Genomic DNA, 18,050 nt, shown 5'->3' with positions numbered 1-18,050 from the left:
TTTGGCACAGATCTAGCTGGGAAGCAATGTCATTAAGGGGAAATAAGTTTGTTTGGTTTCACAAAACCAGCTAAGTTCCCTTCTCCAAGTTCTCAAGCCTGTGCCAGACAACTCTTGGCTCCCTCCAAACCGAAGCTTGTCTGGACCACCTGATCTCCTTGGTGTCCCTTCTGCCAAGTACAGTGATGTGTCTCAGGCCTGTAACTCAGAAGGTTCTACCTGGTCTTCCTCTCCACCCCTTCAAAGCTTCTCTGTTTACCACCTTGTGCCTGTTAGTCTGTGCTTCAGGCATGTTGATCTCTGCAAGCTGGGAATGTGCAACCATCCCTCTCACACCGGTCATTTTGCTTCTGCCATTTCCTGTCTTTTAAATGCCTCCTCCCACTTATCCTCCTTTGGCTAACTCATCTGAGGTGGGCCTGAGATTCTGCATTTCCAGCAAGCTTCCAGGTAATACAGGATGTTGCTAAGTCTGGAAACCACACTTTGTGCCAAAAGACACGATGACACAGAGCGTGCATCACCTGCTCCTCTTTTGTGCTCTTAGCACCGGGGCCGGCCTCTGCCATGCCTCTCACATTGTATCAGAATAACTGCCTTGTCTGTCCATATGTTTCTTGAGAACAGGAATTGTGCCTCGGTTATCTTTACATTTGCAGTGCCAACATGTAGGAGATGCTCAACAAATGACTGGAACAATCCAGACAGATTTTCGTCTGGCTGCATTTTGCTGTTGGTAACTGTTTCCCTATTGAGGACAATGGCTTGTTGCTTTTCCAGGTGGTGCCCTCTGGCCTGAAGGGCTGGTTCCACTTTCTATAATACCATGCAGTAGACCTTGCCAGGGGAGGAGCATGAGAGTTGGGGGTTAGTTTTGGCATAGGAAGAATTCAACTTTTTTTGTGTCTAATTTAGGTCAACATTAGCGGGTTTAAAATTAGCCCCAGATTCTGAATTTTCTTAGGATGGTTTGCTCACGCTTGTGAGCACATGTGCACACATTTCTTATGGACTAAGCCTGTGAGGTTTAATAATCTCTTCCTCTTCTAGCCCTGTTCTCCACGCAAGGGCCAGGAAGGTTGTTTTTTTTTTTTTTTTTTTTTGAGACGGAGTTTTACTCTTCTTGCCCAGGCTGGAGTGCAGTGGCATGATCTCGGCTCACTGCAACCTCTGCCTCCTGGGTTCAGGCAATTCTCCTGCCTCAGCCTCTCGAGTAGCTGGGATTACAGGCATGTGCCACCATGCCTGGCTAATTTTTGTATTTTTAGTAGAGATGGGGGTTTCATCATGTTGGCCAGGCTGGTCTCGAACTCCTGACCTCAAGTGATCCTCCCGCCTCGGCCTCCCATAGTGTGGGGATTGCAGGTGTGAGCCACTGCGCCCGGCCCATAGGAAGGTCTTTCTAAAATGCAAAGTTGGATTATGCCACTCATTTGGTGGCTTCCTCTCCTTTCAGAGAAAAATCCAACTCCCTAACATCAAGGCTTCTGAATAAGGTGCCTGCTGGACAGGTTTCCCCGGGCCAGTTCATGCATACTCCTGTTGTCTGTGAGTGCCCCCATTCACTCTCACAAGCTAGGATGATGAATGCTCTGATGGCCCCCACCTCTCCCCACAACCTCATGACTCACTTTTCAGCCAGGTTGCTTGGTTGTGAGAACATGCTCATACCAGTTGTCACGTCCCAGGTTGTACTCTGGCTGCTAATTCTCATGCAGGGGACCTTGTTACAAGCTCACTCTTGGATTTTTCTCTGGATGGTTATTCTATAATCTAGGATATATATCTACATTAACCCATAATTACTGTAAATCCTGTAAAACCCAGCAAGATTAAATAATGAACATACTGGTTTATGTTTTCCCTCAGTGCTTTTAGCAGAAATCTCTTAATGATAAGATTAATCTTTTAATGGACAGATGGGTGAGCCATTCCACTTGCAGGTGAGTAAACTGTAGCTAGCTGGGAGAAGAGGCTGCCAGTCTGCAATAGTTATTCTGCTTACAGGGTGTCATTGCCCTCTTCTCATCTACTTGTAAACTAGTTTTTCATACTAGTTGGAGCAGTAGCGCAGGACAATAAAACCAGTATGAGTTGCAAAGCCAGATAGAACTGGGTGAACCCCAGGCAGTTTCTTACTTCGTCTGAGAGTTGGTATTCACACCTGTAAAAATGAAAACAGTAAGACCTACTTTGTGTGGATAGTTATATGATTAATTGGGATCATTTGGAAATGTTAGGTTATGTACATCACAGATATATCTGTCTTCTTGTTTTTAAAGATGAAACCGTGTGAGTTATTTCTGTTTGGAAACTGTGGCAATGCTACAGATAGATTATTTGGTATATTTATCTGTGGGATTTTTTCTATTGTGATGCAATTTTCTGTTTTTAAGCTTGGAGAGCTTCTTTCTTCTTTTTCATTACTCTAAATATGTTGTACTAATGCAGCCACATTGAATTTTTGCACATGCCTGTTTCTCTTTAAGATACCATTGTGTCCGAATGTACAAGGGCTGCTCTTATCTTCTAGAAACACAGCTGCTTAAATTATACCGGGCAGGCTTTCTCTTAAGGAAATCTCCATTGCAGATAGTGTAGCGAAGATAGAGATTCAGTGGTCTGTATATTTTTGCTTCGAACCCTGAAATTTTTGAAAACCACATAGTGTAAGGGTGGAAGGGTAGACAAGGGAAAGTGATTCTGTATCGTCTAACATTCACTGTTTTATAGAACTGCAATTTGAATGTACAAGGTGCTCTTTGTGTAAGAGCAGGAGACATGTTTACCATTCAGCTCAAGGCCAGCGTTGAACAGGGTCATTGTGCCTCCTCCCTAGCCTCTCAGCAAGGGCCATGGCCACGACCGTCTGCATCCACCTGGAGCTTGTTAGAAATGCAGAGACTCAGGCCCCTCCCCAGACTACTCCATAAGAAGCTACATTTTAATAAGATCTTCAAGTGATTTAAAGGCACATTAACGTTCAAGAAGATTTACTCTTGACTGGCATGGTCCGATAGAACTTTCTGTGATGATAGAGATGTTCTGTATTTGCAACATCTGATAAGGTAGACACTAGCCATATGTGGCTGGGAACTTGAAACAGGGCTAGCAGAGCTCGGGGCCGCGGCTCATGCCTGTAATCCCAGCACTTTGGGAGGCAGCGGCAAGTGGATCACCTGAGGTCAGGAGTTTGAGACCAGCCTGGCCAACATGGTGAAACCCCAACTCTGCAAAAATACAAAAATTAGTTGGGCATGGTGACACAAGCCTGTAATTCCAGCTACGCAGGAGGCTGAGGCAGGAGAATCGCTTGAACCTGGCAGACGGAGGTTGCAGTGAGCTGAGATCACGCCACTGCACTCCAGCCTGAGCGATGCAAGCGAAACTCCATCTCAAAAAAAAAAAAAAAAAAAAAAAAAAAAGAAACAGGGCTAGTGCAACTAGGGAACTAAAGTTTAAATTAAAATTTAAATAGCTACATGTGGTTCGTGGCTACCAAATTGGGGCAGCACCATATGAGACTCTAGGAGGCTTTGCTTATAGGCTTTCTCCTGATGGCAGTGTTGGTGCCCCATCCCTGCCTGGAGGTAATCAGTCCTCCTTGCATGGCCCAGGGTTACCACCGCATGTTCTGGGGTCCTCATCTATGACTGTGGCTCTGTGCACAGTCCCTGGGATGAGTGCAAGAGCCTCAGCATTCCTGACACTCTTGCTTTCCTCTCTGGAGAATTTCAGCTGGTTGGCCTCAAAATTAGATAGGAAAATAAACTTAACAATGAAACACCTGCATTAAACAAATGCAAGACATTCAAAACTATCCTTGTGTAATTGTGTTATTATTCCACAACTTTCTGAAGATCAGAGTACATACTGCTCTACCTTGCTCCATCTATAATGTATATATCTTCAAAATATCGAAATTGGTGCTTTTTTATTGGCTTTACTCTTCTTTATATTACTCTGTCCCCATGGAGAACTCGAGTTCAAATAATTTTAGTTGCTGTTCCCTGAAGAGGCCTTGAGAAACTTTGGCTTCTAGGTCTTTGCTTAAGCATTCGTTCCCTGGCCTGGTGGCCTAAGCAATCCTCCATCGGAGGCTTCTGCTACCTAAACATCACCTTTGTTACTGTGATGGTTTAAGCAAGTTCTGTAACTTTAAGACTCCTTTATTTTTCGCCTCTTCATGCTGATCATCTCTAAACATTGTTCCAAACTTAAAATTCTTTTGATCAAATTTGGCAACACACAACACTTCCCAGCTGTTCCCTGGTGATACATGGCTAAGTGATGATGCAAACATCTGTTCTGGCTGGAGTCACTCTCATATTTTACCAAGCAGAGTTCTGTGATCATTTGTCCCTCCCTCCCACCATCTGATCCTGGGGTTCTGCTGAGGTGAGGGAGATTGAAGAGCCATTTGGTGAAGGAAAATGAAGCTTGCTATGAGAGGAAAGAACGTTTATTCTAACATTAAACTATTTACTGACAAATGTCCATTTGCTTACACTTCAGAAATGTGTTTTCATCAGGTATAGCGGAGCTTGTCATCGCCTTATGTTTATTTTTGTCCTTAAATATTGCTGCTGATCAAGAGGCATCCACACTTAGACATAACCTAAGAGTGGGAAGGGGCTAGAGTGATCATTTCATCATATGGAGGAATGAAGAGCTTTCTGGGAATTGGTGGAAGAGTCAGGTTAGGAACTTGGATCTTTTGACTTATAGGTCTCTTGAGGGTCTTCAGGAGGCCCATGGGCCCCTGCGATTTTTTTGTTTTGTTTTTTTGAGACAGTCTCACTCTGCTGCCCAGGCTGGAGTGCAGTGGCACAATCTTGGCTCACTGCAGCCTCTGCCTCCCAGGATCCAGCGATTCTCCTGCCTCAGCCTCCCGAGTAGCTGGGATTACAGGCATGCACCACCACACCCAGCTAAATTTTGTATTTTTAGTCGAGACGGGGTTTCACCACGTTGGCCAGGCTGGTCTTGAACACCTGACCTCCGGTGATCCACTTGCCTCTGCCTCCCAAAGTGCTGGGATTACAGGCGTGAGCCACTGCACCTGGCTGGCCCCTAAAATTGCAGCAGTTTTGTGTGTATGTTCAGTGTAGAGAGAGTCCATTAGCATGTGTGAATTGCATGCTATCTATTCTTTTGAATTCCCCTGACTTTAGTGGTTAGTTTGACCTCCAACTCCTTACATTTAAGATAAGGCCTACAGAACATTTGCTGCATAATTATGCTACTCAGAAAAGTTAGATTTCCTGGGAAATAACTTTGTATCAAACCATTCTGCCATTGGCAACTGCTGGCTCCAGGGAGGAGAGGGCAAGAATGTTTACCTGACTGCCATCAGTTATTATAAGGGAAAATAACCCTCAGCTGCCATCTTATGAATCAGGGGATGGAAGGGCCATCTTCTTACTTGAAGTATGGCTCATTGCATGGTTTCTATGGGTTTTGGAGCCTGACGACCTATTCTGGGAGCTGTGCTCTGCTACCCCCTTTCTGTGTGACTGCTAGCAAATAATTTTTTCTGCATCTCAGTTTCTGCATATAAAAATATAAGGCTAATAATGCCTGTTTGCAAGGCCATGATGAGGATTCAATGCAAAAATGTGAATTGCAAGGCCATGATGAGGATTCAAGGCAAAAATGTGAATAGAGTGCAGGGCATACAGCACACCCTGTATACACGATTGCCTTAGTCTGGTTCCTGTTGCTATAAAGGAATACCTGAGGCTGGGTAATTTATGAAGAAAAGATGGCTCGGCCGGGCGCGGTGGCTCACGCCTGTAATCCCAGCACTTTGGGAGGCAGAGGCGGGCGGATCATGAGGTCAGGAGATCGAGACCATCCTGGCTAACACAGTGAAACCCCGCCTCTACTAAAAATACAAAAAATTAGCCGGGCGTGGTGGCGGGCGCCTGTAGTCCCAGCTACTCGGGAGGCTGAGGCAGGAGAATGGCGTGAACCTGGGAGGCGGAGCTTGCAGTGAGCCGAGATCGCGCCACTGCACTCCAGCCTGGGCGACAGAGCGAGACTCCGTCTCAAAAAAAAAAAAAAAAAAAAAGAAGAAAGAAAAAAGATGGCTCATGGTCTGTAGGCTGTACAGGAAGCATGGGACCAGTATTTGCTTCTGGTGAGGGCCTCAGGCTGCTTCCACTGACGGTGGAAAGTGAGAGGGAGCTGACATCACATGGTGAGACAGGAGGTGTGAGAGAGAGTGAAGGAGGTGCCGGGCTCTTTTTAACAATCAGATTTCACTGAAACTAACAGAGCAAGAACTCACTCATTATTGTTTACAAGGGATCTATCCCCATGACTCAAACATCTTCCACCAGGGCCCACCTCCAACACTGGGACTCATATTTCAACATGAGATCGGGAGGGTGAAATATCCAAACCATATCAATGATAATAAAAATTTTCATCACTCTCTGCCAACCATTTTAGAGCTGCTGAGGACCTGTGTCTTTCTAGATCCAAAGGTATCTTTTAGGTTTACTGTTGCCATTAGGAGAGGGGTGGGAATCACCATTCCTAGGAAAGCCTAGCACTGAGCTGATTTGGGAATGATCATGGGATATGTATATTTGTTAATCTGAATAATGTAGGAGGTATGAGTATAACTGTGTTTGTTTATAGTGTCTGATTCCTTGAAGTGTAAATCCTCTGACACCCACGTCCCTGAAGCCAACTGGTCCCCTTTTTGCTGTTCAGCCTTTTGAGGGAGTTCAGGATGATGTGGGGGATTATTCTCTTCTTCACTCACTTTCCCACTTTCTATCATCATCCATGAGGCTCTCCCATCTGCCTGCTAGAATCCCGTTTCTGCAGTAGAGTTTACAGGGTAACAGAGCACACGCTATTATAGGAAACTAAGTGCCAGCTGGACATATCATTTTGGGAACAGAGCCATGAAGGAACCATGTTTTTGGCAACTGCTGTCTGTTTTATAAAGAAAAATTGGAGATGTACATTTCCATCTTAGGCTACTGAGGAATCTTTACTTCCAGGCAACATGCAAGGTTTCTAGTCCGTGGTCTACCTGAGGTTGTTTTGTGGCATAGTTCAGCTCACTCTCCCACATCTCTGAAAGAGAATTGCCTCCAAGAGCTGTTGTAAAAGATGAATCTTTGCTTTAAAAGAATAATAATGACAATAATAACAACAACAATTGTAAAACAAACTCAGGTATAGAGTTAGGGTTGTTGATTTGGTTTTTGTTAGAATTAGGTGAACACAGAATAGAAGGTGTGCTTCCCAGCTCTTTCTTGTTCTGTACCCCAGTACATAGCACACACACACATCACACACACTCAACACACATAAACACACACACACTCAATACACATGAACACATATCACACACATTCAACGCACATGAACACACACATATCACACACGCAGCACACATGAACACATATCACACACATTCAACACACGTGAACACACACATATCACACACTCAGCACACATGAACACATATCACACACACTCAACACACATGAACACACACACTCTCAACACATGAACACACACACACACACACACACACTCTCTCACAGCAGCCCCTCAAGATCATGATGCCTATAATGACTTCTCCCCACCTAACTTGCTTTAGAGATTGGGGAACCATCATAATGCCTGATAAAACTGCTCCTAACAAATATTTTCTTTTTTTTATGGTTAATCTTATTTGGGCAAACCTTTAAAAAATTTTTTAATAGTTTTTGGGGTACAAGTGATTTTCGGTTATACAGATGAATTACATAGTGGTGAATTCTGAGATTTTAGTGCCCTGTAACTAGAGTAGTGTACATTGTACCAATATGTAGTTTTTAACCCCTGGCCCCCCTCCTACCCTTCCCCTTCCGAGTCTCTAAAGTCCATTATATCACTCTGTGTGCCTTTGTGTACTCATAGCTTAGCTCCCACTTACAAGTGAGAACATACGGTTTTTGATTTTCTACTCCTGTGTTACTTCACTTAGAATAATGGCCTCCAGCTCCATCCAAGTTGCTGCAAAAGACACTGTTTTCTTCCTTTTAATGGCTGAGTAGAATTCCATGGTGTATATATAAGAAAAACACATTTTATTTCTCCACTCATTAGTTGATGGGCACTTAGGTTGGTTCACAAAGGCTTCGCAATTGTGAACTGTGCAGCTATAAACATACATGTGCATGTCTTTTTCATATAATGACTTCTTTTCCTCTGGGTAGATACCCAGTAGTGGGATTGCTGGATCGAATGTTAGTTCTACTTTTAGTTCTTTAGGGAATTGTCACACTGTTTTCCATAGTGGTTGTACTAGTTTACATTCCCACCAGCAGTGTAACAGTGTTCCCTTTTCCCCATATTCACACCAAGATCTATTATTTTTTGACTTTTTAATAATGGCCATTCTTGCAGGAGTAAGGTAGTGGTATCTGATTGTGGTTTTAATCTGCATTCCCTGATGATTAGTGATGTTGAGCATTTTTTTCATACGTTTACTGGCTGTTTGCATATCTTCTTTTGAACAATGTCTATTCATAATATTTGCCCACTTTTTAATGGGATTATTTGTTTTTTTCTTGGTGATCTATTTGAGTTCCTTATAGATTCTGGACACTAGTCCTTCATTGGATACATAGTTTGCAATTTTCTCCCTTTCTGTGGGTTGTCTGTTTACTCTGCTGATTATTTCTTTTTCTGTGCAGAAGCTTTTTAGTTTAACTAGGTCCCATTTATTTATTTTTATTTTTGTTGCATTTGCTTTTGGGGTCTTAGTCATGAATTCTTTGCCGAGGTTGATGTCTAGAAGAGTTTTTCCAACACTGTCTGGCTTTTATCCCTTAGCTTCGTGAATATGTCCCCTTCTTTCTAATTTGAAATATCCCCCCCACCCCAGTGTCTCTCCCCCTTCTCCAGCGATTTTACTGGCTGCTCACTCCTTCCTTTCCCTGGCAAGCTCTTCAAAAGCACGGTGTTCACTTAATATCTCCCATTCATTTCTCAGTCATCTTCAACCTAGTTTCTCCCCATGTCAAATTATTAATGTAACTTCTCTAGGAAGCAGTGGTCACCAGATGTCCCTAACTGCCAGATCTAATGCATGCTTGCTGGCCTTATTTTTATTTACCTCTTTGTAATGTGAACACTATGACCCTTCTTGGAACTTCCTTCACTCCTCTCTTCCTTGGTTTTCTATATGTCTTGGTCTTCTTCCCCTGAACATTCCTTAAATGTTGGTGTTCCCCTGGGCATCCCACAGAAGATTCTTAAAATAATTTATGCACTTTCTTTGCAACATTTTATTCAGTCCATGGCTTCAGCTTGCTGACTCCCAGATTTGTGTTTCCATTCTAAATTTCTTCCTGGAGCTTCACATCTGTATATGTAAATGTCTGCTAGACACCTCCTCTTGGATATCTGCAGGCACTTCCAGGTAAGGGGTGCAAAGTCAGACTCACTGTTTTCACTCTCTATAGAACTGTTTCCATATAGGAAACATAGGAAAATATAGGACTAGCTTAGTAATTTTCAAGCTATGAGTCATCACTCATTAGTGAGTCTGGAAATAATTTAGAGGGTTGTGATAGCATTAAAACAAACAAGCAAATAAACAAAAAATAACACACACATAGACACACACATACAGGTGAGTTTACATTAGAATATAAGCTCCCTGAGAGCAGGCATGGTTTACTCTTTTATTTTGTTTACTGTTTTATTTTTAGCACCTAGAACAGTGCTTGGCACATATACTGGATCAACATATATTTGCTGAAAGAATGAATGTGTACTCATTTGGGAGGTAAAATGTATATCCTACTGTGGGTTGTGGTCAAGAAAGCTGTTGGACCAAAAGCTAATGATATTTTCAACTCAAAAAATTATAAATATATGATTGTGTTATATTTTTCAATGCTCTATTGTTCAAGTTTACTGGTGGTTAAGGTCTACGGCAGGACTCTTGATATTTTTGCTTGCGTGGTGAACATTGGAGAGGCCTGGGTGAAAGGAGAAAGGAGTGGAATTTGGTGAATGTGGTTGGGAATAAGCAGTGGGCTAGATGAAACAGTGTGCTCAGATGGATGCATGTGGACTCACTGTTGAGATGACTGGCTTAGCACAATATTGAGTTTGTGATGTGAAGCAACATAGTGAACACTATTCCTGCTGCTGGCCAGCCAGCTTTCAGAGAGAGTGAAAGAGTAAGAGAGAGAGAGAGTGAGAGAGAGAGAGAGAGAGAGAGAGAGAGAGAGAGAGAGAGACAGAGAGAAATGTTTTAGGGACATCCTGTAGTCTCTTTGTATCACAAGTGGACTTACTATAAAGCTGGCTGAATTAGAGAGGATGGCAGACTTAAGGCCAGGTGGTCCCAATGGAGAAGTCAAAGAAAGGAAGTCACATGAAGTTGCTTATTTATTTAGCATACATTTAGCCTATTAGGTGCCAAGCCCCTTTGCTGAGTTGTAAGGATATTTTCTGAACAAGACAGATAAGATCCCTGTTCACATGAGTCTTTGTTCTAGTGGGAGAGACAATAGGCAAATAAACTGATAAATATACGAGGTTATTATTTCAGATGCAGAGAAGGCCACTGCATAGAACAGCTTGGTTTTGATTTGTGCCATAATACAGAGAGGTTTGTAATAGGAAGCAAGTGAGTATTCAGTGTCCCAGCTCACCTTGTAGATGGAGGCTTGTGAAACGCAAGAATCCATAAGTGTGCTTCTTGATTGACACTTTTAAAACCTTTTAAGAAAATCAATGTAGACAACATCTTGGATCCTGCACTAATGGAAACCGTGGTTGAGAACTGAGTAAGGGTGAGTGACAAAGTGGAGAGAGTTGGCTCATGGCAATGGGCAGGGCAGCTCTGGAAGTGTGCTGTGCTGGAGGAGAAAGGAGAGGAGAGGCTGAAGGTCCCTTACAGGCTGTTCAGACCAAGAAGTACCTGTTGAAGAGGAGATTTACTTGCTATTTCTAGGGGAACATAACCTTTCCCAAGTGCCCAGATGCTGGTTCTGAAGGGAGTTTGTGGAGCAAGAAGAAGCCACATCATTTACTACTAAGGATGTCTAATTCACTTTTGGACAGGAGTCAGCACCATGTCCAATCAATAGAAAACAAATTATGCAGGGCATTATCTTGGTTGGATATAGGATAATGAACCACTACCTTTTCCTGTCTTCCTTCTGCTTCACAAATTACATATAAAAGGCTAATATAATGTCTCTGAAGAATTTCCTTTCTCGGCTGGGCGCAGTGGCTCACGCCTGTAATCCCAGCAATTTGGGAGGCCGAGGCAGGTGGATCACAAGGTCAGGAGACCGAGACCATCCTGGCTAACACAGTGAAACTCTGTCTCTAGTAAAAATCCAAAAAAAAAAAAAAAAAAAGAAAATTAGTCAGTCGTGGTGGTGGGCACCTGTAGTCCCAGCTACTCTGGAGGCTGAAGCAGGAGTATGGTGTGAACCCAGGAGGTGGAACTTGGAGTGAGCCGAGATCGCGCCACTGCACTCCAGCCTGGGTGACAGAGTGAGACTCTGTCTCAAAAAAAAAAAAAAAAAAGAATTTCCTTTCTCGGTCTCAGGAACATAGTTTTACTGGTTGTGGTACTTGTTCACTTATCTATTTCCTGCGTATTTTAAAAGGGATTCCAGGCAGCTTGCAATGGTGTTCCAGATCTCTTCCATTTGCTCCTCCAGAGCCACTCTCTGCCTTCTCTGCCCCAGATGGCTGACCTGATGGATGGCATTGAATAAGAGCTACCTTGTCCTTTGGCTTTCAGTCGGGTTCAACAATGGAAGCCCCAGCAAGGAGATCACAGGGAAGAGAGAGTGAGGCCTGAGTATTTCTCCCCTGGCTCCCCTGACCTGTGAGGTTGCCTCAGGCTGATTTTATTCCTGGCCCAGTGATCACTCCTCCAGAGGTAGCTTCTCTGCCTGACCCTCTCCAATGGGTTCCAGTACTGCCCCCATCCCATTGCACCTGGCTATTGAGGGGACTGACATTTCTGTTGCTTCTCATCTGGTTCTTGATCACCTCTGGTGGTTCCCCTCCATTTAACTCAGACCTTTATAAACAGTCCCTTTGGAAAGAAAACTTTCTTGAATTATTCTAAGTTGCACACACTGTCTTCCTTCTGTTGGGACTCTGGCAGATACAAATATCAAAACATACAACAAGGAGATAAAAACCATTAAACAAATCAGGAGGCATGAAGATACAGAACTAGAAATTGAGAGAGCTGTGACCATGATATTTGTGTAGTAAAAGGTACACACATTTATCAGCCAATTGGATAGCTATCTTTTGTGAACTACCTGTTCAAGTCTTTTGCTCATTTTTAAATTGGGTTGTTTGTCTTTCTGCTTATGTGTAGGAGTTTAAAAAAATATATATCCTGGACATGAGTCTTTTGTCAGATAAAAGTATTGCAAATATCTCTCCCCAGCTTGTAGCTTGGTTCTTCACTACCTTAATGATATTCTTTGTTTAACAGACATGATAATTTTAATTAAGTCCATTTTATCATTTTTTTTCTTATATAGTTAGTGCTTTCTGTGTTCCGTTTAAGGAATCCCTGTCTACTCCAAACTCATGATGATGTACTCTTATATTTTCTTCCAGTTTAATTGTTTTACCTTTCACATTGATGTCGATGATCTATCTTGGATTGATTTTTTTAAAAACAGCTTGATTGAAGTTTAATTTACATACCATTAAATTTACTCATTTAAGAATACAATTCAGTGATTTCCCAGTAAATTTACAGAGTTGTGCAACCATCTCGCCAATCTAATTTTAGAACATTTCCATCACCCAGGGAAAATAAACCTTGTGCCCATTTGCAGTCATTCCCCCTTCCTTTGCCCAGCCCCAGGCAACCACTAATCTACTTTCTGTCTCTATAGATTTGCCTCTCGAATTCGTGTGTGTGTGTGTGTGTTGCGTGAATTTTATTTGAACACAAGTGTTAACTCTAAGCTTTCTGGAAGCTGAAGCAAAAAGGGAATTTCAACACTTTGTATGGTCTCCCGGCTGGTTCCTGCTAGGACTACAATTCTATCATTTCTTGGAATAATTATTTGTATTCTTATAACATTGGGTAATATAATAGACAATGCCTGGCTACATTCTGGCAAGAGATATATAAATCTCTAATAGTTTTCTTTCTGTTGCTTCTTGCTAAGAGTTAAGAAATTATTTGTCATCTAGTTGAGTCTGTCATCTAGTTGAGATTAGTGAAGGCAGTTTTGTAAAAAGCTACAATATTAAGATTTATGCCCATGGATTTCTGATGATCTAAATTAATACAGTGGAAGAACATAAGAAAGCTACAGAATGGGCAGGCAGCATGGTTCTGTTAAATACCATGAATCTCAAGTGGGCTTTTGGCGAGTCCAGATTACAGTAATTTTCACAGTTGGATTCTCTGATGGGTGAGTGCCCAAAGTGCTGAAAAGCGATTATCCTTACTAAAAGTAGGATCCATGTGCTGTGTCTAGCCACCAGCCATACAGGTGAAAGAACTGACATATTGTTGTGACATTCAGGGGCCCGGGTGCATCCTTGTATTTCTGCCCATCTATGGCTGGCACATGACTCCCTCGTGTATGGATGCTGGGGGACAGTGAGAAGAGCCAACATGCCCCACTGACAGGACCTTCCATTCTGCTCAGGCACTTGGAAAAATAGACAGCTGATGGTTCTTTAGATTCTACACCATAAAGTTTGAGAGAAAATGATTTGGTGAGCCTACCTGATTTTGAGAGAGTGGTTACCACTTGGCCATCTCAAAAGATGAATTTAAACTTTGATGTACTTACAGGATCAGTTAACTTCAAAATATAGTTCAACATAGCAGAACGAATTGACTTGCTGGATAGAGTTACCTGTAGCCCACTAAATAGTGAAGAATATCTTCCAAATGCAATTATTTTATTAGAACCATATTTTTTTCTTTTTCTTATCTTTCTTTTCTGTTTTCTTTCTTTCTCTCCTTTTTTTATTTTTTTTGACAGAGTCTCACTCTGTTGCCCAGGCTAAATGCAGTGGCATGATCTCGGCTCACTGCAACCTCCATCTCCCGGGTTCGAGCGATTCTCCTGTCTCAGCCTCCTGAGTAGCTGGGATTACAGGTGTGTGCCACCATGCCCGGCTAATTTTTGTATTTTTGGTAGAGATGAGGTTTCACCATGTTGGCCAGACTGGTCTCGAACTCCTGACCTCAGGTTATCCACCCGCCTCTGCCTCCCAAAATGCTGGGATTACAGGCGTGAGCCACCGTGCCCGGCCAGGACCATATTTTGATGCAGAATTTTTAAAGCATCCTTTAGTCAACAATTTCAGCTGCTCACAAAGGCTACTCCTCTGGTTGGTTGCGGCAAAAGCCGTATCACTGGCATAAGGAAAGTTGCCCTTCTGTTTGTCTTAATAGTATTATAGTGGAATAGTATCCAGTTTATCCAAAAGTTATGTTAATTAAATGTTTTAAAAAGACTTTGATGCATTACTAGTGGAAGTGTAAATTTGTACAGCCACTATAGAAAATTATCTGGCAATATCTTCTGTAAAGAAACTCATACTATATATCTTAAAAATTCCACTTCTAGGCATATACCTAGTAGAAATACTTATATATGTTCACCAAAGGTATGTACAAATATGTTGTTAGCAGCTTTATTTGCAGTTACTAAAAACTGGAAACTACCCCACAGTAGAATGGACAAATGGACTGTATATTTATACAATGGTAATGCTACACAGCAATAATGTGACTAAATGACTGTTCACACAACAACACGTATGAATAGCAGAAATTATTTTAAACTAAAGAAGCAGGACACAAAGAGAACAACACTGTTGTTGATATTTAAGTGAAGGATTCCATTCAGTTAAATATCAGAAACAGGCAAAACTGTTTGATGACAAAAATCACAGTATGGGTACCTTCTGGGGAGGTAATAACTGAAAGGGATGGATGGTTTGTCTACTTTGCTGCCTGAATAATATAATTCCTTAAAAACAAGATGGGCAGCTAGAACATTTCTGCCTTATGTGTTGAGAATTATCTGATAAAAGTCCAATTCTATGCAGACTGATCCCAGAAATGGTGCAAATTTCGAAGAATCATGAATAACCAGAAATAAACTGTGAATGGATAGTTTGGCTCACTGGGACTTTCTGTGTATAAACTCAAAGTTTAACACAGATGAATGAATGAGGTGAAAAATTGCATACTTCAAAAATTTTCAGTCCTTTTCGATGAGATGAAATAATATATAATAGTGAACAGTAGTGAAATAGTTCTATCACTGCTTACTTCTCATCGAAGTTATTAAATGAAGAGACTCGGGTTTGTAGCCCCCACCCCACTACCACTGACAAGCAAGGGGGAATCCCCACTCCACTCACCTAGACAATTAGACACTCTAGTTTTACAAAGGAGTATCCAGCAGAGTCATGGTCTATGCTTTTGAGGACCTCCTCCCTTCTTTCTTCCCCCAAGGGATGGGTAGATAATACTTCAAACCATTGTTAGGGTGAACCAAGAGGTGGGACAGTCCTTCTTTAGAGTGAATCAGTTGGTGTGGATTGAGCTAAAACAATAGAATCTCCCCTCCTTTTCTCTCTAGCTATTGTCTCTCCACATCAGTAAGGACTGACTTACACATTAAGATATTTCAGAAGTTAGTTCAAGATGAGGATGAATACATTTTCATAGGGAAAATAGGCTAGCACCAAGAAGGTGAACTTCTAATATATTAACTGAAATTATATAGTTAGCCCCAACTTATCTACTCCCAAATGACTTTATGAAATGCCTGGGACAGGAAATGGCCTGCAGCCTTAGGCACAGAAGGAAATGGTCTGTTTAATACGCCACGTCTCTAAGGGGCAGGTGATGTTCCAGCCCTAGAGAAAGGTGAGAGATGAGGATCTTCGCTCTTGCCCCAAACATTCTGCGGCACTCTGGGAAGGAACTCTGTCATTCAGAGTCATGTCCCAAAACACCCTGAGGGACAGCAAAATGTACCATTTGCCTCTGAGGTACAGGGATGAGTGATTTCAGTTACTAAGCAACTCACCCTTCTGAGCTGGCCTGGCCTCATTCTGGTCTGTAGTTGAGGTGAGCCGGGACGAGTCAGAGCAAATATGTTGCTTTTAGAAAGAGAATTTAGGAGGTCAAAAACAACAGATGCTGGTGAGGCTGCAGAGAAAAGGGAACACTTATACACTGTTTCATGAGAATGTAAATTAGTTCAGCTGCGGTAGAAAGCAGTTTGGAGATTTCTTAAAGAACTTAAAACAGAACTACCATTCAACCCAGCAATCCCATTACTGGGTATGTATCCAAAAGAAAATAAATTATTCTACCAAAAAGACCCATAGACTTGTATGTTCATCACAGCACTATTCTCACAATAGCAAAGACATGGAATCAACCCAGGTGACCATCAGTGGTGGAGCGGATAAAGAAAATGTGGTACCTATACACAGTGGAATACTATTCAGTCATAAAAAATGAAATCATGTTCCTTGTGGCAACATGGGTGCAACTGGAGGCCATTATCTTAATAGAATTAATGCAGGAACAGAAAACCAAATTCTGCATGTTCGCATGTATAAGTGGCAGGTAAACATTGAGTACTTATGGACAGAATGATGGCAACAATGAAACTGGGGACTACTGTGGGGGAGGGAGGGACAAGGGCAAGGGTTGAAAAACTACTTATTGGGTACTATACTCAGTACCTGGGTGATGGGATCAGTCATACCCCAAACCTCAGCATCATGCGGTATTCCCGGGTAACAAACCCAGAATCTAAAATAAATGTGGAAATCATTTTTAAAAGTAAATTAATTAATTTAAAAAGAGAGAATTTAGGGTTTCCTGGTTCTTCCATGTGTGAAAGGAAGGATATTGCTAAAAAGCAGTAAGACACAGGGATGATTTTGCCCCTTGTCTGATGAAAGCAAGATTAGGAGTCGTCTGACCTGGAGGAAAGGCTGCTGGTAGAAATGGCATTGAGGGCTGGGCATGCATGTATCTGTCCATCAGTTTCACACTTGATCCAGGGAATGCTCAGGAAAACTGTGACAGACCGGTTGGTTGGAAAACGGAAGAGCTTATTGAAAAAGAAGTGTTCTCAGAGTATGCACACCAATGTTTGAGGACCAGTGACTTGGTGGAAAAGAGCAGAAGCTTTAAAGAGGCACAGAAGAGAGTTCATGTCCTGGGTCCAGCTCTTATTTGTTGCTTGAGCATACATTTTCCCATCTGCAAAGTGGGAATAATAATCTTACTATCTACCAGAGAGACTGTATTAACGAGCTAATATATGTAAATGGCTCAGCACAGTGTCTGGCACATAATATGTGCTAAAAATGTTTGCTCTTATTAAGAAATTTGGGTGGTTGTAATCATACACAAGCATTTGCTGTGGCCAATTTCCTCTGAAGAGTCTCACATTCTTTTTCAAAAGTTTTTGTCCATCCTCTGAACTAACGTGGGGAAAAGCTAGTCAAGGTTTCCCTGTGCTGATGGAGTGGTTTTTTGTTTGTTTGTTTTTGATGGAAGGCAGAAGTTGGGTTACAAGGCAGAGAGCCTCATCTGGAGAGCAATTAGGAGCTTAATAAATAAAAGACCAGTTTGATAAATGCTAGAAGGGAACTTGAAAGTTAAGGACGGGAAGAGTGGGGAGCTGATCCCATTTTTGAACAGTAACATGCAATATTGAGAGCGAGCATTCAGTTCAATGCGCCTGGCTTCCTTCTTGTCCTGAGTTTGATACTGTGTGCTTTTAACATCTTCATGAGCCTTCTGCATCACATCCCACCTCAAATGGGGCTGCATTCTGGGAACCTGGTGGAGAAAAGGTTGACCTCCATGCCTGGGGATGGACAACCTTTGCTTTCCCGAGTATGCTGCTGACCTGCATGGAACTGATTCTTTGGGGGCAATAGAGAGGTGTATGTAATTTATCGCAGCATTCTTTGAGCTGCCTGGGTAGACTTTCAGGACAATGGATTGCACACTATGTTGG

General features: G+C 42.2%; 1 protein-coding gene across 8 annotated transcripts in view, besides 2 other annotated features; it reads left to right on the top strand.

Annotated features, from left to right (window-relative positions):
* FRMD3 (FERM domain containing 3) overlaps positions 1–18,050 on the top strand; it is a 342,803-nt gene that overhangs the window by 158,784 nt on the left and 165,969 nt on the right. The gene's annotated exons all lie outside the window — the stretch shown is intronic.
* Positions 2,663–2,957: a silencer, noted in NCBI's record as "tiled region #2550; K562 Repressive non-DNase unmatched - State 7:EnhWF". NCBI's record gives its function as "weakly represses a minimal TATA promoter and a strong SV40 promoter by Sharpr-MPRA in K562 cells {active_cell/tissue: K562}" and the evidence as "EXISTENCE:reporter gene assay evidence [ECO:0000049][PMID:27701403]".
* Positions 2,663–2,957: an enhancer, noted in NCBI's record as "tiled region #2550; HepG2 Activating DNase matched - State 5:Enh". NCBI's record gives its function as "activates a minimal TATA promoter and a strong SV40 promoter by Sharpr-MPRA in HepG2 cells {active_cell/tissue: HepG2}" and the evidence as "EXISTENCE:reporter gene assay evidence [ECO:0000049][PMID:27701403]".

This window comes from Homo sapiens, chromosome 9 (genome assembly GCF_000001405.40).
Source record: "Homo sapiens chromosome 9, GRCh38.p14 Primary Assembly".
Classification (NCBI taxonomy): domain Eukaryota; kingdom Metazoa; phylum Chordata; class Mammalia; order Primates; family Hominidae; genus Homo; species Homo sapiens.
This window is presented reverse-complemented; position numbering and strand designations above follow the sequence as displayed.